Source organism: Homo sapiens, chromosome Y (assembly GCF_000001405.40).
Source record: "Homo sapiens chromosome Y, GRCh38.p14 Primary Assembly".
Lineage (NCBI taxonomy): Eukaryota > Metazoa > Chordata > Mammalia > Primates > Hominidae > Homo > Homo sapiens.
The window spans coordinates 25,062,646-25,089,619 of NC_000024.10; the positions used below are offsets into that span (position 1 = coordinate 25,062,646).

Consider the following 26,974-nt stretch of genomic DNA (forward strand, 5'->3'; position numbering starts at 1 on the left):
CATCACCTTTGTGTGTGGCCTAGCAATATGTCACTATTCAAGTGTGCAGGTCCCAAGCAGAAGAGACATATTATCTCTATGATAGGCCCTGCAATATTTCAAAATGCCCTCTTTGGGGCGTGGCCCTGTCAAAATAGTATCATCACCTCTGTGCCACTCCTAGGAGTACGTCACTATCCTGCCCTGTGTGCAGGGCCCATTCTAGAGAGGAGAGTTACTTCTTTTAAGTGATGGACACAGTAATATGTCACAATAACGTGTGTGTCATGGTACAGGCAAGAATGTAACATCACCTGGATGCTGGATCCAGTGATGTTACAATTCTTACTGAGAGCAGGGCCCAGGCAGAAGTGTAACATCATGTCAAGGTTGGCCCAGGTAAATATCAAAATGCCATATGTAGGCTTGAACCAGTCTGAAGAGTGAAATCACACCGGTAACTGGCAAAGATTTATATCACAGTCTTGAAGAAATAAAATTCTGGGGATTAGATTTAGAATACCACACATGTCCTGTTTTCATGTAGGACAGATGCCTTCATCCACCTGTGATGGTGAAATTCCTTGCTGTCAGCTGGGTGTGCATACAATACTCACAATTTATTCTGTGTGCTAGGTGCTTTGTGACACCCTCTATTCAACACAAGGGTGTTAAAAAATATGTGTGAGTGTTGCAATCTTCTGTGACCTTTTTACCAGAAGGAGATTCTACATCACTCATGTCCCTAAACCTAGTTATAAGAGGCAACATTTCTTCTATTGGCTGGGTCCACATAAGAGAGTCATTATCATGCCTATTAGCTGTGCCTAGTTATATGTCACCATCCCGTCTTTGGTTATAAAAGAGATAGAACAAACACATCACCTACATTCTAAGCCAGAAGTATTACAACGTTCTCTTTGTCAGCAGGGCACTAACCGAAAAGTCAGAAAACTTTGGTGCCAGTCCCAGCTCTATCGCATAATGCCTCTTGTGGACAATGTCCAGGCAGGTGAGGAGAGTCATATCACCAAAATGATGGGCTCAGAGATATGTCACAAGGCCTCCTGTTGAAATGGCCCAGGCAAGAGAGTCATGTCATTTGGATGCAGTGTTTAGAAATGCCACACTCTTCACTGAAAGGAGGTTCAGACAAATGGGGAACATCACATTACCTAGATGATGGGCCCATAGATATGTTATAGTTTTTTCTGAGGACCCTCTACAACAGGAGAGTCAAATCACCAAGGTTCTAGGTCCAGGTATATGTCAAAATGTCATATGCAGGCTATAATTAGGCAGGATTATTAAATCACTGAGGAGCTGGACCAAGGTGTATGTCACAATAGCACTGGTGGAAATGTTCAGGAATGAGAGTCACCATTCTGCACATCCTGGCTCCAGGTATAAAGTTGTTATTATTCCTTTGATCTGTCTCAGGTATATGGCATAATTTCACCTGTGGGCAAGGAGAAGAAAGGAAAGTCACATCACTTCAGTGGGTGCTGGTCCAGTGAAATGTCACAATCCTCCTTGTGGGCAAGACTCCTGGAAAAGAGTCACGTCACCTGGATGCTGGTTTAAGTGATATATGAAAATCCACCCTAAGGACAGAGCTTAGGCTGGAAAGGAGACAAAATTCACCTAAGCAATTGGTCTGGAGATATGTCACAATAGCCCCTATGTGCAGGACCAAGGCAGGAGCGTGTCCTCACTTTGGTGCTGGGTTCAGCAACATTTCATAATCTCTCTAGTGGTTAGAGCTCAGGCAAGAGAGAAGAAACATCACTGAGGTGCTGAACCAAGTGTTATGTTACAAAGCTTCCTATTGGCAGAGCGCCACAGGAAAATGAGTCACATTACCTGAGTGCAGTACCCAGTTATGTGTCACAATGCACCATAAGTGCAGTGCCAAGGCAGTAGAAAGAAGTCATATCACTTATGTGATGGACCTAGAAAAAAGCCACAGTGCTGTCTGCAGGCAGGGCTCAGGCCAAGATTTTACATCAGCTGAATGCTGGTTTCAGTGTCATGTAAAAGTGCCCCCTGTCACGTTGCTAAAGGTGTTATATGTTGCTTGTTGCATGTATGTCACAATTTCAACTCTGCTCTGGGCCTAGAAAGCAGAGTCAAAACACTCAGATGCTGGGCAAAGTCACACTTCTCATTCACACACTAAAAAGTGTTCAGAAATCAGTTTCACAGTCCCACACAAGTCTGAGCTTCATGCATGAGACTCAACATCTCCTATGACTGGGTCAAAGTACAGGAGTCACAATATCAACAATGGGCAAGATGCATGTATAAGAGCCCCAATCCCACTTGAAGATTGTGTGTCAGGATAAGAGTCAAATCACCAAAGGTCTGCTGAGTTGTGGTTCAAACATCGCCAAACCACCTATGGATCTGATTCATATATAAGGTAACAATTTCTAGCTTCAGCTGCTTATGGGAGGGAGATTTAGTAAATCATTCATAGGCCCTGTTTATAACAAACATGCCAGCTGGGTGTGCGTCCAAGAGTCACAATAGCACGTGGTCACTGGTGCCTGTTATGACACCCTTTGTACCACTCAGGATTTATATGATATGCCTGACTAGGCTACTTTTCTGTGATTTCTTATAGGTGGGAGATTTGGAATTTATCCGTGGCTGTAAGACAGACTATGAGAGTTAAAATATTCCCCCTGGCTGGGTTCATGTATGAGAGTTATTATTGTGCAAGTGTGCTGATTTCTGGTATGTATCACAATTTTCCCTTTGGACAGAAACAAGGCATAAGAGTCACATCATTTGCATACTGAGCCATGGATACACTATAATCTCCTCTGTGGTAAGGAGCCAGTGACATGGGTCATATCACTGGGTACAATCTCAAATAATATGTCATCTTGACAACTGCATACAGGGTTGAAAAAATAGTGGATAGTTACATCCTCTACGTGCTGGGCTCAGCAATATGATATAATCGCTGCTCTTAACAGAGTCCAGGACAAAGGGGAGAGTCACATCACCTGTGTTTTGCACTCAGGGGTATGTCACAATTTCATCAGTGGGCAGGATCCAGGCAGAAGAGGTGAGTCACATTACCTTGATGCTATATCTAGTGGTATGTCATAGTGTTCCCTGTGGGCAAGACACTGGCAGGAGAGACACATCACCTAGCAAACAGGACTAGAGATATGTGATAATATTTCCTGTTTGCTAGGTCCAAGAACAAGAGTACACATTATTATGATCCTAACCCGGCGATATTTCAAAATCCACCTATGGTCAAGAATTTAAGCCACTAATCTCAACACCTAGGGTTACCAGGCATAGTGATATGACACAATCTCCTTATCTTTTTGGGTGACACTTTTTACTGGTATGTATGTAAGTGTCACAATGTAACGTGTTCTGGGTCATTGTGTGACACATTCTACAATATTCAAAGGCTTTATGTAACATGCATGAGATTTGCAATCCATTCTGAGGCCTACATGCTCCTGTTGACTCACAATCTTATGTATTGCTTTAAATTCAGTTATGATAGACAACATCTCTCTTATAGGCTGGGTTCAGACAGGAGACCCATTATTATGTCTGTGATCTGAGTCCAGAACTGAATCACCATCTCAACTGTAGCAACACACACATATGAAAGTCCCAATTCCATCTTTGTACTTTATTTACTTGTTAGACTGAGGACTTCAACAGTGGTCTTTTTAAATGTGGGATAATGAAATCTTCATCTCTCTCCTGCATGACATGTGTAATCAAGAGTCACGATCTTAACCTTTTGCTAGGCCCTGTTATAAAACTCTGTGTACCAGCCAAAAAGTTTACAGAATTTGAATTAGTGTTGTCATATGTGAGCTTTATGCAAATATGCAACTTATAACCTTACCTATTGCCCTAAGTGTAGCAATGAGAGGCAAAGTGTCTACTATTGGTGCAATCCCAATATAAGTTTGATTATTATGCCTTTGAAATGAAGCAAGGTAAATTTCAAAATCCCATTTGTAGAAAAAAAAACTTGGCAGGAGGGTAGCACAATTTAGGTGCTGTGTCAAGCAATATGTCACAATGCCCTCTCTAGGCATGATATAGAAGTGAGGGATCCATTAAATGGGGGCTGGACCCAGCAATATGACACAATCCCAAATGTGGAAAAAAAAAAGAACCCAGACAAATGATGACACCAAAAACTCCTACTGAATGGGTCTATAATATGTAAAAATACTTTATGTTGCTCTGGCACAGGAAGGAGCGTTACATCATCAGGGTGAGGGGCCCAGCAATATGCCATAATTATCTCTTTATGCAGAACCCAGGTAGAATTGAAAGATTATCTGGGTGCTGGGCCCTGCAATACCTCAAAAATCTTTTTCTTGGGCATGGTTGGGGAAAAAAGAGTCATAGTACCTAAGTATTGGGCTTAGCAGTATGTCAAATCACCCCATTGCAAAGACTCAGGCAGAAGAAAAGATTCACATCACTTAAGACACAGGCTCAGATATATGACCCAATGTCTCAAGTAAGGAGGGCTCAGGCAGAAGGGTAGAGTCATATCACATAGGGGCTTCCCTAGGTATATAACACAATCTAACATATGAGGTGAAAGCTGGCAAAAGAGCCACATCGCCTTGATGTGGGCTCTTGAGATATATCACACAAGCCTCCCTTAAGACAGCACCCATGCAAGAGTGTTATAACAAATAGGTGCGGGTTGTACCATTATGTCACAATGCTCCACGTGGGCAGGGCTCAAAAAGATAGTCAGATCACCTAGGTAATAGGCCAGAGATATGTTACGATATCCTTCTTAAGGCATGGCTCGGGCAAAAGAGTACCATCACCTGTTTGCCTAGCCTAGTAATGTGTCACTATCAGGGTAAGCAGGGCCCAGGCAGGAGAGCAAAATCACCTAAGTGATAGTACCAGAGATTTGTCACAATGCCCTCATTAGGACACGGCTCTAATAAAAGATTACTGTCATCTACGTGCCTGACCCAGCCATATGATACTATCCCCCACTGTGTGCAGGGCCCATTGTCATGAGGAGAGTTACATCACCTAAGTGGTTGTATGACATACGACACAGTGATATGTCACAATGATGTCTGTGGGAATGGCACAGGCAAAAATTTAACATGACTTGGGTGGTGGACCTAGTGATATGTCATGACCCTTACCGAGAGCAGGACCCAGGCAGGAGAGTCACATCACCTAGATGTTGGACCAGGTAGAAATCACAATAACAACCTCAGGCTGGAACCAGTCTGGAGAGTCAAGTCACACAGATGGTCAGCAAGGATGTTTTTTCAAAATGACACTGGGAGAAAATTCCTGAAATGAGATTTACACTACCACACATGTCTTGTTTTCATGAGTGAGAGCTGGCTTCACATATTTCAGACAGTGACAGTATTTACTGTCAGCTGGGTGTGTATATGAGACTCACAATTTCACCTTTCTGCTGAATAGTGTTTTTACACTCTCTGTACAAGCCAAGGGCATTATAAAATATCTGAGGGTGTTATAATCTTCTTTGACCTTTTTTTTTTCTTTTTTACCAGAAAGAGATTTATGAGATTTATTCACTCTTGTTTTTGTTGTTGTTTTTGTTGTTGTTGAGACAGAGTCTGGCTCTGTCACCCAGGCTGGAGTGCAGTGCTGCAATCTCTGCTCACTGCAACCTCCACCTCCTGGGTTCAAGCAATTCATCTGCCTCAGCCTCCTGACTAATTTGGACTCCAGTCGCACACCACCACACCCAGCTACTGTTTGTAGTTTTAGCAGAGATGGTGTTTCACCATGTTGGTCAGCATGGTCTCGATCTTTTGACCTTGTGATCCACCTGAATCACCCTCCCAAAGTGCTGGGATTACAGGCCTGAGCCACCACGACCAGATAATTTACTCGTGTTTCTAAAGTAAGTTAGAAATGTCAAAGTTATTTTTATTTGTGGGGTCTACATAAAAGAGTCATTATACCTGTAAGTTGTGCCTATGTATAGGTCACAATTTACTCTGTGGTAATGAAATAGGCATGACAGCTAAGTCATCTAAATGCTGAACCAGAAATTTTCCATTATTTTTCTTGTAGACAAGTTCCTTGCAGAAAAGTTTTGTAACTTGGGTGTTACACCCAGATGTATGGCATAATGCCCCTTGTGGGCAGTGTCTAGACAGAAGAGGAGTCTCATACCACCTAAATAATAGGCCCAGAGATATTTCACAATGTGTCCCATTGAAAGGACCAGGCAAGAGAGTCATATCATTTAGATGCAGTGCTTAGAAAAGCTATAATCCCCAGTGGAAGCAGGGTCCAGGCAGGAGAGGAGAGTCAGGTAACTAGATGGTGGGTCCAGAGACATGTTACAATCTTTCCTTAGGATATTGTTAAGACAGGAGAGTCAAATCACCAAGGTGATCACCCGAGGTATATTTCCAAATCTCATTTGTGGGCTACACCTAGGCAGGATTATTAAATCACTCAGGAGCTAGGCAAAAGTATATATAACAATAACACTGGTTGAAAGTTCCAGGAATGGGAATAACCATCTTGCATATGACCTGGGTCCAGATTTAAGAGTCGTGATTAGTCCTTTTGTCTGGTCTCAGGTATATGGCACAATATCACCTGTAAACAGAGAGCAAGGAGGAAGGTCACATCACCTGGGTGGGTGCTGGTCCAGTGAGATGTAGTCATCTTTCTTGTAAGCAGGGCCTTGGAAAGAGTGTCACATCACTTGGATGCTGGTTGCAGTGATATATCAAAATCCCCCATGTGGGCAGGGCTTAGGTAAGTGAGGAGACCCTCTTTACCTAGGCAATTGGCTTAGACATATGTCACACTGGCCGCTATGTGCAAAACCAAGGTATAAAAGTGATCTCACCTGGTGCTGGGTTTAGCAATGTTACAATCTCCCCTTCGGTCAGGGTGATACAAGAAAGGAGAAACATCACCTAGGTGCTGAATTAAGTGATATGTTACAAAGCTTTCTGTTGGCAGAACCCAAAATGCAGAGTCACATCACCTGGGTGCAGTATCCAGTTATGTGTCACAATGCACTATAAGTGCAGGGCCAAGGCAGTAGAAAGCAGTCACATCACTTACATGATGAACTTAGATATAAGCCACAAAGTCTTTTATAGGCAGGGATAAGGCAAATATTTCACATCACATGGGTGCTGATCCCTGTAATATGTAAAATTGCCCTTTGTATGCACACCCAGGCATCTATACTTAGGTGTTTGGTCGTCAAATTGTTCAGGGGATCAGCTAACTTTTATGTCCTGACCACATGATAGTAAATATTTAGAAATAAGTTTCACAGTCCCACACAAGTTCTGGATTTTTGTATGTGAGTCAACACTTCCTGTGAGTTGGGTCAAAGCAGAGGAGTCACAGTCTCAACAGTGGGCAAGCTTCATGTATAAGATGCCCAATTCCACTTGAAGAATGTGTTCCAGCAGAGGAGTCACAGCCTCACAGATGTGCTCAATCGTGCATCACCAAACTACCCATATAGAAGAGGAGCAATTTTAACTTTTGACTGCTCTCTTTGTGAGGTTTAATGCCTTATTTGCAGGCCCTGTTCTTGTGAGAGAATGACTACCGGGTCAGCTGGCTGTGCATTCAAGAGTCACAATGATACTTCCTTCCTGTTCCCTGTTATAACACTGTTTTTACCACTCAGGCTTTATATAATATGCCAGAGTGTCATAATCCTCTGTGAACTTTATACCATTAGGAGACCCAGTACTTTACTTGTGGCCATAAGACTGGCTATAGGAGTCAAAAAATCTCTCCTTTCTGGTTCTAGGTATGACAATTTTATTTGTGCATGTGAGCTGAACCCAGTTATATGTCACAATTTAACCTGTGAGCAGAAGCAAGGTGGATTCTGAGCTCAGGATACATTATAAACTCCTTCAAAGGCAGGGCCAAGTCAGAAGAGTCACATCACCTGGGTACCGTATCAAGTACTACGGCATCATGTCCACTGTAGACAGGTTTGAAGAAAAAAAGGAGAGTCACACCACCTAGGTGCTGAGCTCAGCAATATGTAGTAATTACCTCTTTTGGCTGACTCTGGAACAAGGAGGAGAGTTGCATTACCTAGGTTTTGTACTCCGTCGTATGTCACAATTCATTCTGCGGTCAGGACCCAGGTAGGAGACGAGCGTCACACTTCCAGATGTTACTTCAAGATATGTCATAATGTTCCTTGAGGGTAAAGCATGGGCAAAATAGACAAATTACCTAGCTGATAGGCTCAGAGATCTGTGATAATATACATTTTTGGCAGGGCCCAGGTAGAGCAGTCACATTATTATGATTCTGAACCCAGGATATATCACAATGCAAACAAGGGAAACAATTTATGCAAAGGTTTTAACACCTGGGTACTAGGACCAGCGATAAGACACAATCTCCTCATCTTTGAGAGTGACACCTTTAACTGTTAGCTTGGTGTGTATATGAGTCACAATGTCACGTGTGTGCTGGGCCATGCTATGACACCCTCTGTAATGTCTGAGGGCTTTATATAGCATGCGTGAGAGTTGCAAACTACTCTGAGGCCCACATGCTTATATGAAATCACAGTCTTATATATTGCCTTAAGCACAGGTATGATAGCCAACATCTCTTATTTAGGCTGATGTCAGGAATGTCTGTGAGCTTGGTCAAAAATGAGTCACAATCGCACATGTGGCCAGATCCATATATGAGAGCCACAATTTTATCTTTATATTCTTTTCACTTGTTAGACTCAGTACATCAACGGTGGGCTTTGTAAATGTGGGATAGTGACGACTTTTACTTTCACCTAGGTGTGTAATTGACAGTCACAATCTTAACTCTTTGCTGGGCCTTGTTATGAAACCCTGTATCACCCAAGTAGTTTATACAAGACAAATTTGTGTTGTAAACTTCTGTGAGCTTTGAAGAAATTTCCAACCCAGAATTTTACATGTTGCCCTAAGCCTAGCGATGAGAGGCAAAATATCTTCTATTGCCTGAATCCTAATATAAGAGACCATCATACCTGTAAGCTGTAGCAAGGTATATGTCATAATACCATTTGTGGGCAAAAAATTAGGAAAAAGAGTAACATCACATAGGCGATATGGCAATCGACATGTCACAATGCCCTCTCTAGGCAGAACCTAGGAAGGAGTGTTACATTAACTGGGTGCTGCGCCCAGCAATATTACAGAATTCCACATGTGAAAAATATTAGCCAAGGGATAAGAGCCAAAACTCCTACAGAAAAAGCCGAAGACATGTCAAAAATACTCTCTGTGGCTCTGGCACAGATAGGACAGTACCATCATCAGGGTGCTCAGCTGACCATCTGCAATAATTTTATCTTTATTCAGGACTCTGGCAGAAAAATAACATCATCTGAGTGCAATAGGTCAAAATTTCTTTGCGGTCACGGTTCAGAAAAAAGAGTAGAGTCACATGATGTAAATGTTGGGCTCAGAAACATGTCACAATCCCACCATTTTAAAGGCCCTGGTACAAGAGAGCCATATGACTTTGGTCATGGGCTCAGAGATATATCCCAATGACCCCAGTAGGCAGGGCTCAGGCAGTCAAGGAGATTCATATCACCTAGGTGCTTCCTGAGGAATATATCACAATGTTACATGTGGGCAGAAAACAGACAGGAGAGCCACATAGCTTGGGTTCTGCATGCTGAGATATTTCACAAGGCTCTCTTAGAACAGCTGCCAGACAATGGAGTTACGTCACCTACATGCAGGTTCTCTGCCTATGCCACAATGCTCCATGTGGGTAGTGCCTAAGGAGGAATGGACTACACCTAGGTGATAGGGCCAGAGATATGTCACAAAGTCCTCTATGAGGCATGGCCCTGGCAAAAGAGTACCATCACCTGTGTGCCTGGCCTAGAAACATGTCACGCTCCAGGTTGGCAATACCCAAGCAGGAGAGCCACATAACCAGAGATACATCAGAATCCTCTCCTTTGGGCATGGCTTTGGCAAAAGAGTAGCCTCACCTGTGTTCTCAGTCTTGAATCATGTCACTACCTTTTCTTTGAGCAGGGCCCATTCCAGAGAGGAAAGTTACATCACCTATGAGGTGGACACAGAAATATGTCACAATAATTTTTGTGGGCATGCTGCAGACAAGAATGTAACCTGTGGCCAGAGAGTAGCCAAGAAAGTCACATCAGCTATGTGTGTGCGGGTCCAGTAAAATGTCACAATACACTTTGCGGGCAGGACCCTGGCAGAAAAGCCACATCACCTGCATGCTGCTTGCAGTGACATATCAAAACTCACTATGTGGGCAGAACTTTGGCAAGAGAGGAGAACCACTTAGCCTAGGCAACTGGTGCAGATATATGTCACAATGACCCTCATGTGCAAGACCAAGGCTGTAGAGTGACCACAACTTAGTGCTGGGTGCAGCAATATGTCACAATTTCCCCATGGTCAGGGCCCAGAGAAAATATGAAGAAACATCACCTAGGTGCTGAGCCAAGTGATATGTTCCAATGCTTCCTGTTAGCAGAGCTCAAAAAGGAGAATCATGTCACATGGGTGCAGCACCCAGTTATGTGTCACATTTCAGTGTAAGTGCAGGGCCAAGACAGTAGAAGGGACTCACTACACTTATGTGATGTACCTAGATTTAAGACACAATTCTTGTAGGCAGTTTTCAGCAGATAATTTACATCACTTAGGTGATTGTCCCAGTGATATATAAAAGTGACCTTTGCAGTGGGAGTTCTGGAAACTATTATATGTTTCTTAGGTGCTTGTTTCACATATGGCAAAATCTAGTCTGGGATTAGAAAAGAGAGTCAGACGATTCATGTGCTAGGCAAAGTTACCTCTCCCTTTTATATTCTCAGAAAGATTTGGAAATAAGTTCCACATCCCACACAAGTATTTCTTTTGTGTAAGTGATTCAATTTTTCTGTGAGTTGGGTTGAAGCAGAGGAGTCACAATCTCAGCAACGAGCAAGATTCATGTATAAGAGCCCCAATCTCACTTGAAGATGGTTTTCCAGTAGGGGAGTCAGCACTACAGGTGTGTTGAATCATGGTTCGTATGTTACCAAACCACCTGTGAATCAGATCCATGTATAAGAGTAATTATTTCAATCTTTGACTGCTTTTTATGTGCATGATTTATTACCTCATTCCTAGGCCCTGTTCATGTGGGAGAATGTCAATCGTGTCAGCTAGGTGTACATACAAGTGTTCTCACCTCATTGCTGCTTTCTGTTATTACACTCTTTGTATCATTAAGGCTTTATGTGATATACCTGAGTGTTATAATCCTTCGTGAAATTTATACAAGTGAAAAGCCCAGGACTTTACCAATGGCTGTGAGACTGGCTGTGAGAGTCAGTTATCTCTACTGGATGGGTCCAGGTATGAGAATTATTATTGTGCATGTGTGCTTAAACAAGGTACATGTCACAGCTGGATCTGTGAGCAGAAAAAATGCCAGGAGAGTCACATCAGTTGGGTGCTGAGCCAGTTATATAGTATAATCTTGTTTGTAGTCTGGGGCTAATCAGAAGGGTAACATCACATCACCTGAGTGCTGAGCCAGTGATACAGTATATACTCATTTTTTGGCTGGGCCTAGTCAGAAGAGTCACATCACCTGGGTACAGCCTCAAACAGTATGTCACCAAGCCCACTAAAGACAGGAAAGAAGAAAAAGAGGAGTGTTCCACCACCTAGATGCTGAGCTCGGCAATATGTAATAATCCTTCTTTTGGAAGAGTCTAGAATATGAAGGAGAGCTACATCTCCTAGATTTTGCAATCAGCGGTATGTCACAACTTCTATGGTGAGCAGGGCCCAGGCAGGAGAGGATAGTCACATTTTCTAAATATTATGTAAACCGATATTTCACAATGTCCCCTGGGGACAGGGCACAAAAAGAAGAGACAAATCACCTAGCTTATAGACCCAGAGATATGTGATAATATTCCCTCTTGGCAGCGTCAAGGCAGAAGAGTCACATTATTATGATTCTAACCCAGTGATATGTCACAGTGAATCCATGGGAAGGAATTTAAGCCAAAAAGTCTCAACATCTTGGTAACAGGCTTCGTAATATGCCAGAACTCCTTGTCTTTCAGAGTGACATGATTCACTGTGAGCTGGGTGTGAATATGAGAAACACAATCTCATGTGTTTCCTGGATCATTGTATCACACTCTACAACTTTCAAAGGCTTTATACAGCATTCGTGAGAGTTGCAAACCACTCTGAGGCCAACATGCTTGTATGGATTCATTATCTTATATACTGCCATAAACCCAGATACGATAGTCAACATATCTTCTGTAGGCTAGGTTCAGGGATGAGACCCCTTATTTTGCCTGTAAGCTGGATCCAGAAGTGAGTCACCCTCCCATTTGAGGCCAGATCAACATATGAAGATCACAACTCCAATTTTGTTCTCTATTCACTTTTAGACTTAGGAACTTAATAGTGGGCTTTGTACATGTGGGATGGTGACGACATTTGCTTTCACCTGGGTGTCTAACGGAGAGTCCTAATCTAAACTTTTGATGATCTCTTTCATAAAACTCTCTTTACAACCCAAGAAATGTATACATTATGAGTTAGTGTAAAGTTTTTGAGTTTGATGCAAATATGAAACCCAGGACCTCATCTATTTCCCTAAGCCTAGTAATGAATGGCAAAATGTATCCTACTGGCTGAATCCCAGCATGAGTTTGACCATCATGCCTGTGAACTGAAGTAAGGTGTAGGACATAGTCCCATTTGTGGTCAAAAAGTGAGTCAGGAAGGTAACATCACTTGGGTGCTGTGACAAGCATCATGTCACAATGTCCTCTCTAAGAAGGGTATAGGGATTAGAGTAACATTAACTGGGTGTTGGAACTGCAATATGACAAAATCCCATATGTGGAAAAAGACAACCTAGAAATGAAAGCCAAAATTCCAACAGAATGGGCCCAGGATATATCACAATACCTTCTGTGGCTTTGGGTCAGCCATGAGAGTCACATTATTAGGGTGCTGGGCCCAGAAATATGCCATAATCCCTCATATGTGCAGGACCCAGGCAAAAGAGTAATGTTATCTGCATGCTTGGCCCTGCAATAGGTCAAAATCTTTGTTTGTCTAATAACCCGAGTGCTGGGCTCAGCCATATGTCACCAATGTCACCATCCTCTCATTGTAAAGACCAGGCAGGAGAAGAGAGTCACTTCACTTAGGTCATGGGCTCAGAGAAACATCCCGGTGCCCCTGTATGCAGGGCTCAGGTAGAAAAGAAGAGTTATATCACTTATATTCTTCTCTAGTTATATGTCACAATCTAACATGTGGGCAGAAACCAGGAAGAAGAGCCACATCACCTGGGTATAGCCTCAAGTAATATGTCACCATGCCCAATGTAGACATCTTCAAAGAAAAAAAAAAAAAAAAGAATTAGACCACGAGCATGCTGGGCTCAATAATATGTAATAATTCCCTCTTTTGGCAGAGTACACAACAAAGAAGAGAGCCATGTCACCTAGACTTTGTGCTCAGTGGTATGTCACAATTTCTTCAGTCAACAGGATCCATCCAGGAGAGGAGGGTCACATTACCTAGATGCTATATGTAGCAATATGTCACAGTGTCCCCTGTGGGCAGGGCACTGGCAGGAGGGAAATGTCACTTAGCCAATAGATGCAGAGATATGTGAAAATATCTGCTCTTTGCAGGGCCAAGATAGAAGAGTCACATTGTCATGGTTCTGATCCAGTGATATGTAACAATGACCTCATGGAAAAGAATTTAAACCAAAAAGTCTCAATACCGGTATACTAAGCCAAGGGATGTGGCATAATCTCCTCATCTTTAAGCATGACATCATAAACTGTTATCTAGTTGTGTATATGACAGTCACAATCTCCCAAGTGTGCTTGCCATTGTATGATACTCTCTACAACATCTGAAAACTTTACGCAACAGGCATGAGTGTTGCAAAACTTTCTGTGGGCTACATGTTTATATGGACTCATAATCTTACATATTGCCCTAAACTGAGGTATGTCAGGCAACATGTCTCCTACAGGCTGGCATCAGGGTTGAGACCATTATTAGGCCTGTGAGATGGGTGTAGAAATGATCCACCATTTCACCTGTAGTCAGATTCACTTATGAGAGTCACAATTCAAACTTTCGGTTCTATTGACTTGATCAATTCAGGACTTCAGCAATAAGCTTTGTGAATGTAGGATATGAGTTAATGTTGTAAAATTCTGTGATCTTTGAACAAATATGAAATGAAGGTCCTTAACTATTGACCTAAACCTAGGGGTAAAAGGTAAAATGTCCCCTATTGGCTTAATCCCACAATAAGCTTGATCATCATGCCTTGGAGCTGAAGCAAAGTGTATGTCATAATCCCATTTGTGGGCAAAAAACTAGGCAGAAGGTTAACACCATTTAGGTGTTGTGCCAAGCAATATATCATAGTGCCCTCCCTAGGCAGAGCCTAAGAAATGGGGTCACATTAACCGGGGGCTGGAACCCACAATGTGACACAAAAATACGTGGAAGAAACCCAGCAAACTGGTTAGTGCCAAAGTACCTACAGAATGAGCAAAAGACATGTCAAAATACCTTCTGTGGCCCTGGCATGGACAGAAGAGTCATATTCTTAGGGTCCTGGGCCAAGCAATATGCCACAATTCCCTCTTTATCCATGAGCTAGGCAGAAGAGTAATATTATCTGGGTGTTGGGTCCTGATATACAGCAAAAGCCCTGTTCATGGGCACTCTTTAGCAAGAACATGAGAGTCACACAACCTAAGTACGGGGCTTCTCAATACATCACAATTCTCCCACTGTAAAACTACAGACAGAAGAAGTGAGTCAAATTACTTAGGTCATGGGCTCAATGATATGACCCAAAGTCATTTGTAGGCAGGGCTCAGGCAAAAAAAGTGAGTCGTATCACCTAGGTGCTTCTTTAGGTATAGGTCACAATTTAGTATGTGGGAAGAAGCCAGGCTGAAGAATCACATCACCTGGTCCTGGGTCCTGAGATATTCACAAATCCCCCTTAGAAAAGGACCTAGGCAAGAGAGTTACATCACCTAGGAACAGGTTCCACCCTTATGTTACAATGCTCCATGTGGGCAGCCTATGAAGGAATTCACATCACCTAGGTGATAGGCCCAGATATATGTCACATAACCTTCCTGAAACCATGGTCTTGGCAAAAGAGTACAATCACCTTTGTCACCTGGTCTAGCAATATGTCACTATTCCAGTGGGCAGTTTTCAAGCAGGAGAGCCATATCACCTATACAATAGGCCCTGTAACATGTCATAATCTTATCTTTTGTGCATGGCCCTGGCAAAGAAAAGTATCATTACCTGTGTGCCTGGCTTATGAATATGTCACTCTCCTGCCCTGTGTGCAGGGCCCGTTTCAGAGAGGAAAGTTATATCACCTCAGTGATGGACAACATAATATGTCACAAGGATGTGTGTGGGCATGGGGCAAGCATGAATGTAACGTCACCTAAGTACTGCATCCAATGATGTCACAATTCTTCCTGAGAGCAGGCCAGGCAGAAGAATCACAAGACTTCAATGTTGGCCCAGGTAGATATCAAAATTCCATGTGTAGGCTGGAACCAGTCCAAAGAGTGAAATCAAAAAAGCGCATGGAAGAGTTTTAGATCACAGTCATGATAAAATAAATTTCTAGGGATTAGACTTATAATGCCACATGTGTCTTGTTTTCATGTAGAACAGTAGCTTTTATACATCTGTGATTGTGAAAATCCTTCCAGTCAGCTGGGTGTCCAAACGAGACTCACGATTTCCTCTTTATCCTAGGCCCTGCTATGACACTCTCTATACTACTTACAGGTGTTATAAGAAGGTGTGAGTGTTGTAATCTTCTGTGACATTGTTAACAGTAGGAGATGCTTCATGTCACTCATGTCTCTAAACCTAGTTGTAAGAGTCAAAATTTCTCCTATTGGCTGTGTCCACATATGAGAGTCATTATCATGCCTGTTAGCTGTGCCTAGGTATATGTCACCATGCCCTCTGTGGTTACTAAATAGGCAGGACACTACATCACCTAAATCCTAAGCCAGAAATATTCCAATATTCTCTTTGTATGCAAGGCCCTAACGGAGAAGTAACAGAACTTAGGTGTTATGCCAAGCTCTATGCTGTAATGTTACTTGTGAAGAGTGTCCGGGCAGGAGAGGAGAGTCATATCACCTAGATGATGGGTGCAGAGATATATCATAATGCCTTCTGTTGTAATGGCCCAGGAAAAAGGGTCATATCATTTGGATGCGTGCTTAGAAATGCCACACTCTTTGCTTTAATCAGCGTGCAGTCAGGAGAGGAAAGTCGCATAACCTAGATCATAGGTCCAGAGATATGTTATGATCCCTTCGGAGAACACTGTTAAGACAAAAGTCAAATCCCCAAGGTTTTGGCCCAATTGTATGTAAAAATGTCACATCTGGACTCTAAATAGGCAGGATTATTAAGTGACTCAAGAGCTGGGCAAAAATAAACGTCAGAATAACACCTGTGAAAAGGTTCAGTGTTGAGAGTCACAATCCTGCACGTGACCTGGTTCCTGGTACAAGAGTCATTATTAGACCTTTTATTTGTTCTCAAGTATATGGCACATTACCACTTGTGGGGAAGGAGAAGAAAGTAAGGAAAGTCACATCATTTAAGTGTGTGCACGTCCAGTGAAATTTCACAATTCTCCTTGTGGGTGGGACTCTTGGAGAAGAGTCAATCACCTGGATGCTGGCTTCAGTGACATATCTAAATCCTCTCTGTTGGCAAGGCTTAGGCAAGAGAGGAGACAAACTGCACATGGGCAATTGGCCTTGATATATGTCACAATGGCCATTGTGTGCAGGATCAAGACAGGAGAGTGAACTCACCTTGGTGCTGGGCTAAGCAATATGTCAAAGTCTCTCTGGTGGTCAGGGTCAAGGCAAGAGAGGAGAAACAGCACCTAGGGGCTGAGCCAAGTGATTTGTTACATAGCTTTCTATTGGCAGAACTCCCCTCAAAAACTCTCACATCACCTGAATGCAGTGTGTCACAATACAGCATAATTGCAGGGCCAAGGCAGTAGAAGGAACTCACATTATTTACATGATGGATCTGGATAAAATCCATAATGCTCTTTGTAGGCAGGGTTTAGGCCAACATTTCACACCAGCTGGTTGCTGGTACCAGTAACATGTAAAAGGGCCCCTAGTTGCATTGACAAAAAGTTGTTATACATTGCTTAGGTGCTGGTGCATGTATGTCACAATTTCTAGGCTTGGCCTAGAAAGGAGAGTCAAAATACTCAGATGCTGGACAAAGTCAAACTTCACAATCACACACTTGAAAATGTTCAGAAATAAATTTTACAGGCCCACACAACTTCTGGCTTCGGGTATGAGAGTCAACACCTCCTACGAGTTGGGTCGAAGTAAAGAAGTCATAATCTCAACAATGGGCAAGATACATGTGTAACAGCCCCAATCACATTGAAGGTTGTGTTCCAGTAGGACAGTCAAAGCACCACTGGTCTGGAGAATCATGGGTAAATTTCACCACAGCATCTGTGGATCAGATTCATATATGACGGTAACAAATTCCAGCTTCAACTGCTTATGTGTGTGAGATTTTTTAACTCATTCATAGGCTCTGTTCATGTGTGAAAATGACAACTGTGACAATTCGATGTGTGTAACACCTGGTTGCTGGTGCCTGTTATGACACACTTTGTACCACACAGACCTTAAATGATACACCTGAGTAGGATACATTTGTCTGAATTTTTACAGACATCTAATTTTACAGAGATCTGAGACTTTACTCATGGCCATAAACTGGCTCTGAGATTCACAATATCTCCCTTGGATGGGTCATGCATGAGTTATTATTGTGCATATCAGCTGAATCCAGGTATATGTTAGAATTTCATCTTTGGACATAGACAAGATAGAAAAGTCACATCATCTGTGTCCTTAGCCAGAAATACATTATATCTTCTTTTTAGGCAGGATCCAGTCAGAAGGCTCATATCTCCTGGGTACAGTCTCAAATAATATATCATCTTGACCATTGTATACAGGGTTGAAAAAATAGAGGGTAGTCACATTCCCTAGGTGCTGGGCTCTGCAATATGTTATAATTCCCTCTTATAGCAGATTCCAGCACAAAGAGGAGAGTCACACCACCTAGGTTTTGCACTCAGTGGTATGTCACAATTTCCTAGGTAGGTGAGATCCAGGCAGGAGAGGAGAGCACATTACCTAGATACTATATCCAGCAAAATGTCGGTGTCCCCTGTGAGAGAACACTGTGAGAGGAGAGACATATCACCTAGCTGATAGGCCCAGAGATATGTTACAATATCCCCTGTTGGCTGGATCCGTGAAGAAGAGTCACCTTTTTATGATTCTAACCCAGCAATATTTCACAATACACCCATGGGAAAGAATCTAAGCCAAGACTCTCAACACCGGGGTGCTGGGCTTTGTCATATGACACTATCAATTTATCCTTTAGGTGACACATTTAACTGTTAGTTTGTTATGTATGTAAGAGTCACAATCTCAAGTGTGTTCTCAGTCATCTTATGAGACACTCTACAACATCTGAAGGCTTTATGCAAAATACCTTAGTGTTACAAACCACTCTGAAGCCTACATGCTCGTTTGACCCAAAACATACATATTGATGTAAACCCTGTTATGATAATCAACAGTTCTCTTATAGGCTGGGTTCAGACAGAAAACCCATTATGGTGCCTATAATCTGGGTCCAGAAATGAGTCACCATCTCATCTGTAGCAAGATCCACATATGAGAGTCACAATTCCATCGTTGTACTTTATTTACTTCTTAGAGTCAGAACTTCAACAGTGGGCTTTATAAATATGAGATGCTAAAAACTTTTTCTCTCACCTGCATTTGTAATCAAGGGTCACAATTTTAATCTTTTGCTGAGCTCTATTATAAAACTCTGTGTACCACCCAAGTTTATAGACTATGAGTTAGTGTTGTAAATTTCTGTGAGCTTTGTGCAAATATGCATCTCATAACTGTAACTATTGCCCTAAGCACAGCTATGAGAGGGAAAAGTCTACTATTGGTGGAATGCCAATTATGTTTGATCATGATGCCACTGAGTTGAAGCAATGTAAGTATCATAATCTCATTTGTAGAAAAAAAAACTTAGTGGAAAAGTAGCACAACTTACATGCTGTGGCAAGCAATATGTCACAATACCCTCTCTAGGCAGGGTCTAGAAATGAGGGTTACATTAACTGGGTGCTGGAGTGCTGGACCCAGCAATATGACACAATCTCAAATGTGGAAAAACAAGCCCAAACAAATAAGGACAGCAAAAACACCTACAGGATGGGCCCAAGATATATAAAAATACTTTCAGTTGCTCTGGTACAAGCAGGAGAGTTATATCTTCAGGGTGATGGGCCCAGCAATGTGCCATAATTATCTCTTTCTGCAGGACTCAGGCAGAAAAGGTACATCATCTGGGTGCTGTACCCTGCAATACAGCAAAATTTATTTTATTGGCATGATTTGGAAAAAGAACAGTCATTTAATCTAAGTATTGGGCTTAGCAATATGTCACAGCATCCCACGGTAAGGGCTCAGGCAGAAGAAAACAGACACATCACTTAGAACACAGGCTCAGATATATGACCCAATGTCTCAAGTAGGCAGGGCTGAGGCAGAAGAGAAGAGTCATATCACCTAGGTGCTTCCCTAGGTTTATAACACAATCTAACATATCAGGAGAAGTCAGGCAAAAGAGTCACTTCACCTTTATGCTGGTTCCTGAGATATGTCACAATGCTCCCTTAGGACAGGACATGGGTGAGAGAGTTACAACAAATAGTTACAGTTTTCACACTTATGTCACAATGCTCCATGTGGCAGGACTCAAGCAGCAAGTTATATCACCTAGAGGATAGGCCAAGAGATTTGTCACAATACCCTTTTTAGGATAAGGTCCCAGCAAAGGAGTTCCATCATCTGTGACCCTAGTGCAGCCATATGTGAGTATACCATACTCTGTGCACAGCCCAATCTAATGAGGAGAGTTGCATCACCTACAGGGCTGACACAGTGATATGTCACAATAATTTCTGTGGGCATAGCTTAGGCAAAAATATAACATGACCTGTGTGCTGGAGGTAGTGATTTTTCGTGATTTTTACTGGGAGTAGGTCCCAGATGGGAGAGTCACATCACCTCAAGGTTGGCCCAGGTAGATACCACAATAACATATGTGGGCTGAAACCCTTCCAGAGAGTCAAATCATATGGGTGATTCACAAAATATTAAATCACAAGCACACTGGCGGAAAACTCCCAGGGTAAGATTTACAATACCACACATTAGTTGTTTTTATGAGTGACAGTTGGCTTCATATATTTAAGATGGTGACATTCCTTACTGTCAGATCAGTGTGCATATGAGACTCAGAATTATGCCTTTCTGCTGCATTCCATCATAACAATTTCTGTACAAGCTGAGGACATTATAAAATACTTGAGGCTGCTATAGTCTTCTTTGAACTTTTTTATTACCAGAAAGAGATTTAATCATTCATGTTTCAAAAGCAATTTATGGAAGTTGAAAATACTTCTATGTGTGAGGCCCACATATGACAGTCATTACCATGTCTGTGAGATGTTTGTAAATTGAACATTGAAATAAAAGCCCAACAAGGTACTCTTAAGGCACTAATCTGTTCCTTACCAACATTTGTAAAGAATTATAAAATAATTTATAAAAATTATCTTTTCCATTTCTAAGTCATCATTTTTGTTAAATAAGTAATTTAGGAAAATCTGGAATTTTATTTCAGGATTTTTAAACCTCTAAGTTGTAACATCCTTCTCAAAACCACACTGTAGTTACAAAATTATCTTTCTTTATTTCTAGCTTTTGGATGCTACAGAGGGCCCATAGAGTATCAACAAGAGAGATAAACAGGATTATATGGCATGATTAGTTACACGGAATTGCCAAATGGTGTTCAATATTTTTAGGTGATATTTTGGTGACTAATACTAATACATGTTCTAAAATTATATGGGATTTCTAAAATTCTAATGTCTGAAGTATATGCTATCATCCACAATTAAGGTTGTTAGGTTAATTTATTGCAAACCATATAGATAACGAAAATTTTTGTCATATTTCTGACTGTAACTACCTTGCACACTTTGTAATACACAGATAATTATTCCTTTTTTGATTTTTTTATGAAGTGCTTTTTAATCAGCTATAGATCTTTAATAGGTGCTCTCAATTGCAGGCTTCCGATAACTTTGGAGCTTGTGACATTGAAATACAGGAAAAACTTACAGGACTCTCAAAGAGCTAAAATATGTATGAATATCAAACAAAAGAAGAGTTGACTGAATGGACCGGACTAATAGAAAATTGAAGTAGCCCTTCTGACTTTTGTTTGAGACATTACTCATTCTTGTATTATTTACCAGAGTCAAGGAAACATCTTGAGATACTTACAGCCTTTAATATGTGAGCAAGGTGTACTCATGTGTGCACAATTTGGATCACGTTTGCCTTTCTCGGCAGGACTTCTCCTGAATTCGAAAAATAGTTGTGAGTGTTCTTAACTTGTGGCAATATAGGTGTTTGTATCAGTGCAATAACAGTCCAATTTCTCTTCCAACAGAACACAACTGGAGAAACTGGTTGTTTGAACAAGGCCTTGACTAAAAAATAAGCTTCCCTTTAAGGAGTCAAGATCAACTTGCAGAACCAAGAAAATCCCAGTGGAAAAATTGGCTTTATACCTCATCTAAACAGTCCTTTAGCAGGGTTCCTGATCTGTGGTAACTAAATAATGACACTTTCTGACAGGCCCAGGAGCTCCAAGTTTATCTTGGGACCATAAGAGCAGAGAATCACCCAACTAAAAATTATCTGATTGTACAAACCCGTGGCTGGGCTTGACTTTAGAAAGTCCCATCTGAAATTTCTTGTGGAACAGAGTTCCATCAAAGCCAATGTAAAAGACCTATCTAGAAATAATTATTCTTGCTGCATTTTATGCAAATAATCAGGCCCAGTATCAGAATAAAGTTTATTTTACAAACAACTCAGTCCTATCATGATTTATTTTTTAATAGAAGAGGACTGGATAAAGTTTATGTTTCACAACTTATTATATATTTGTCATTAAATTCTAAACTCACAAGTTTTGCATTGTTGCCTACTTTTTAGAACAATCTTGCTTATTTCTGTGACCCCACTAATGATCTTCAACTGCAGCCCACAATAAACAAAAATGAATTGGTACACATGAAAATCTGGATTAACATTATAATTCTGGACAATTATCCTGCAAATTCTGCAGAGTGATGGGAATATATAGGGTGCCCACCTAAATTTTATGAAGCACAACTATAGCCACTAGTTTCCTCAGTATGTCACAGTCATTCTTTTCTCACCCTTGTAGAAGAAGAACTCAATTCCACAGCTTCATCTTAGCATTCAGCTCATGATAAAGAGTCCATGCAATGCCCTGAGACACATTTTTGCCCCAGCCTCAATTCTAAGCTTCTGTTTGACACCATAGAAAAAAGTAAAAAATTTGAGAAATCCAGAGGCAGGTGATAATGGAGGTAAAAAAGCACAATGCTGGTGAGCATAACTAATTCCCAGGGATTAAGCCAAGCCCCCGATTTCATGGATAAAGATTATGCTACTATCCATGCCATAAATGAGGTCCAGTGAACTCCAGAGCTACTGACAGCAGGGAAGAAAGGGTACACATGTGTAAGAGCAGATATATCCACCCCCTTAGGCCTCCCTGTTAACATTGGTGAAAGCTGCCTCGACACCCATGGGAGGCACCCTGTTACAATCAGTGGGACTTGGGGATACAAGGATTGAAGTGGGAAAAAGAATATTCTTTCTCCTATAGCTCAACACACCCTGGGTAATTGCTAGGAAGAGAAAGGAGCCAGGGACTCCTGCTCCTCTATCTCTTTCAAGATAAGTAACCATTCATTTTTAGTCTAGACCCATTTTGAATGCATCCTGAACCCTTGGAACTCCTTTGAAAAAATGCTAACTTTTCATTTTTTCTCCTCCGTTTGCTGTTTAGAGATAGGTAATCACATCTCCATGTTTTGGGACATTCCTCTTCAATGCATCCTCCAAGTTTGGAAGAGTTAATTTCCCAAACATTAAACTGGACAGCTTAGGATTGGACCCAGGAGAAAAGAACCCAGAAGTCTCATATGCCGTCAAAAGGGTAAAAGTTTTTTCTTTCTTTCTTTCTTTCTTTCTTTCTTTCTTTCTTTCTTTCTTTCTTTCTTTCTTTCTTTCTTTCTTTCTTTTCTTTTTCTTTCTTTCTTTTATTTTTTCCTGTTGGGCTTTTGGCCTCCCTCTACCTATGCAAACTGGTGAAAACCCTGGATTTTTTTTGAGCTGTCTCTTCCACATTTCCCTTGGTTCATTTTAATACGTGCTTTTTAGTAACACAGTTTGATTCTCCTCACCTTCAGGCTATCAAACTTCAAACAGTCACACTACCATAGGCTGAGACAATGGCCCCTTTCACTGGAGACACTTAGGCCTCTAAGGAATAACTGACTGCCATTTATTTCACAACAGTGCCCCCTGTCATCAGGAAGCACTTAAAAGTGGTTTTTGTCCTCATCTTTATCCTTATTCTAACAGCAGTTAGATATACTTATTGACAGTGGAAAATAACAGAGTTAGAAAACAGCCAAGTGTCTTGGACAAAACCCCATCTTCAAGCCTAAAACAGCCTGAAGGCTGAAAAATCGAGTGCTTGTGCTAGATGAAGCCTGCCTTTTTCCAACAGATTCTCTTTGAATAATTTCCATCTGAAAACTGGGGGAAGGGAGTGGAGGCTTGGAAGGCCATGGAAACTTTACCCCTTGTGCAGGGAGGAGGAGCCTGGCTTCATCAGTTCCTGTGTGATGGTCTGGTGTTCAGCAATCCGTGAAGTGGGGGCCTGGTAAACACGACTCCCACTCACTTCGTTGAGAGTTTTTCTTTTTTTCTTTTCTTTTACCCAATCAGCTCTACTCTTTATCCTTCAGGAGTGTCCCTGAGCCTAATCTTTCCTAGTCATGTGACAAGAACCCAATTTTGCTGAAGGAGAACGTTCTGCAACATGAGGAATTAGAACGTTTGTTTAAGATAAGCTGAATTTTATGCATGTGGGTTTCATTCTGGCCTCTGTTATTTGCCTTAACATTGATTTAACTGTCTTTATGCCAGCACCACACTATTTTGATTACTGTAACTTGGCAATATGTTTTGAAATAAAAAGTATTTATCTAAGTATATTCTTTTTTTCCAAAGTTGTTTTGCTACTTTTTTTGTTTTGTTTGTTTTTGAGTGTTTACATAAATTATAGTGCAATATTTGAGGGCTTACTCCTGTGATCCCAATACATTGGGAAGCCAAGGAAGGTGGATTGCAGGACCCCAGTAGTTTGACACCAGCCTGGGCAATATGGTGAAACCCTGTATCTACAAAAAATACAAGAACTTGCTGAGCATGGTGGCATGCACCTGCAGTCTCAGCTACTTCTGGAGCTGAGGTGGGAGGATCAATTGAGCTTGATGTGTCAAGGCTATGGTGAGCCATGATTATAGCATTGCACTCCAGCCTGGGTGACACAGCTAAATATTGACTCAAACATTTTAGAATATTTTACTACTTCTGCAAAACAAAAACAAAAACAACAACAACAAAAAAAACTATTGGCTCTTTGAAAGAGTTCTCATTGACCTGTAGATCATTTCTAATACCATTAACTGAGGCACCACTCTTTTCATGAGGGCATTAGCTGCAGGGAGTCTGTCCCTTGCAGACCCCTGACCGAGCGACAGATGAATAAAGTACCCTGTCACACAGATATTCTGCTTTTCAAGTCCAGCTGAGGGTCTGGGGCCACTAACAGTCTCCAAAGGGAGTCCTGTAAAGAGTGGCAGCTGTGCCCTGAGCAACTTGCACTCCAGGCATTTATTTAGTATAGAATTATTAACAGAAGCTTTGAGTAGACACACTTGTGGATAATTAACCTGGTTAAGAGAATAGTTCTGTGAATAACGAAACCTCAGGCACCACGGTCTAAAGTAAATGCCAGTGGGGGCAATTTCCCTGGTTGACATTCCCCAGAAAGGACCATCTGGCTTAAAGGTTAGTTAATGGAGGTGGGGTAAAAAAACTTAATTGGGGAAGCCTCTATTGTCCTTAGCATTTACCCTATGACCAAATGCTTTAAGGTTAAAACCGACTACCTTCAGCCCCTTGAATTATTACAAGCTATGCAACCTTTCAGCCTTCCAAAAGTCTGTGACTATTCCCTATAACTTTCCCTAATTATTTTCTTTTAATATTTCTGCCATCCTCCTGAGTGAATCTCAAAATCCTCCTCTCTGTTCTTTTCTGCATCAGGTTTTTGATTGCAGAGCACAGATATGTGCAGTCATAGGTTTGTCAGGTGAGGTGGTCACTGATCTTATTCCAGCTTTGCATCATATAAATAGCAAATAACACAAAACAATCATGAGTATAATTAACAACACTTCTTCCAGTCAGAGTGACTTGCAGAGTTACTTGCCATCTGAGTTCACTCTGTGCTATTAATGAGGAACCTCACTGGGGGAATGTTGATTTCCTTTTATTTAAGCAGTGATGTTGTTAGAAGCTGGAAAGGGGGTGTTAGTCTAAGTACTAGGGTAGAACAAAGGAGGTTACAAGATGGGCTTAATAGAGCTTGGCAGATACAGGTAGTAGACAAAGTGAGAGAATAAAAAAGAAGCAGGATTTGCATAGCCTTCTGAGTCATCTTTCTCTGATAAAGCTGCATCATCTTGCAGGGTCTCTCCTAGGCTGGCTCGAGTTTTTTCTTCTTTTAATCCTTTGATGAGGATGCAGTGTCTTGGCTGGTGCTTGTGTATTGGAAATTGTAGAGATTGTGTCTGTGCTAAGATATCTCTCATAATCTTTGTTAAAGAGCAGGTTAGTGCTTTAAGAAAAACTTGTGCTTTTAATGTCTTGTTTACAGAAAAACTGGATGACACATCTTTTTTAAATTAATTTATTTTTATTATTGTACTTTAAGTTTTAGGGTACATGTGCACAATGTGCCGGTTAGTTACATATGTATACATGTGCCATGCTGGTGTGCTGCACCCACTAACTCATCATCTAGCATTAGGCATATCTCCCAATGCTATCCCTCCCGCCTCCCCCCACCCCACAACAGGCCCCAGAGTGTGATGTTCCCCTTCCTGTGTCCATGTGCTCTCATTGTTCAATTCCCACCTATGAGTGAGAATATGCGGTGTTTGGTTTTTTGTTCTTGCGATAGTTTACTGAGAATGATGATTTCCAATTTCATCCATGTCCCTACAAAGGACATGAACTCATCATTTTTTATGGCTGCATAGTATTCCATGGTGTGTATGTGCCACATTTTCTTAATCCAGTCTATGATTGTTGGATGACACATCTTTAACTTTAGTCAATATGTTTACTCAGAGAATTTTGTTAACAATTAACATTTTAAAACTTGCTTAGACTTTCAAAACAAAATTATACAACATGTCCTGAATAGTTTTCTTTTTATAATGTTTTTATGACTTCCACAGACAATTTTCAACATGCCTTAACTTTATTTCTTTCATAACCTTCCTTAATAAAGGTGCAGTCTAATGGTTATAACTTTCTTAACATTTCTTTCTCTTTATGTCTTTTCTTTGTCTTACTTTTTGTGACTTTGACCTCTGGTTTTTCTAGTCTTTCTTTTTTTTCCCCTCTATTTCTCTCTTTAACCTTTCTGTTTCTCTCTGATCTTGGACAGCAATTAAATGAGTGTTGGTATCAATAGATACTTGTACATATCTAAGTTTTCCAAATTCAAGTATGGGTGTA

At 41.3% G+C, this 26,974-nt stretch overlaps 1 long non-coding RNA gene across 1 annotated transcript in view; it reads right to left on the reverse strand.

Moving 5' to 3' along the window:
• Window positions 1–437: 437 nt before the first annotated feature.
• The window catches only part of TTTY4C (testis expressed transcript, Y-linked 4C), a 36,810-nt gene continuing 10,273 nt past the window's right edge, over window positions 438–26,974 (reverse strand). Inside the window, exons 2-4 of the long non-coding RNA NR_002177.1 lie at window positions 10,001–10,076; window positions 8,089–8,196; window positions 438–1,438 (exon numbers count right to left, since the gene is read on the reverse strand). This is a non-coding gene — a long non-coding RNA (testis expressed transcript, Y-linked 4C). The remainder of the gene's footprint in view (window positions 1,439–8,088; window positions 8,197–10,000; window positions 10,077–26,974) is intronic.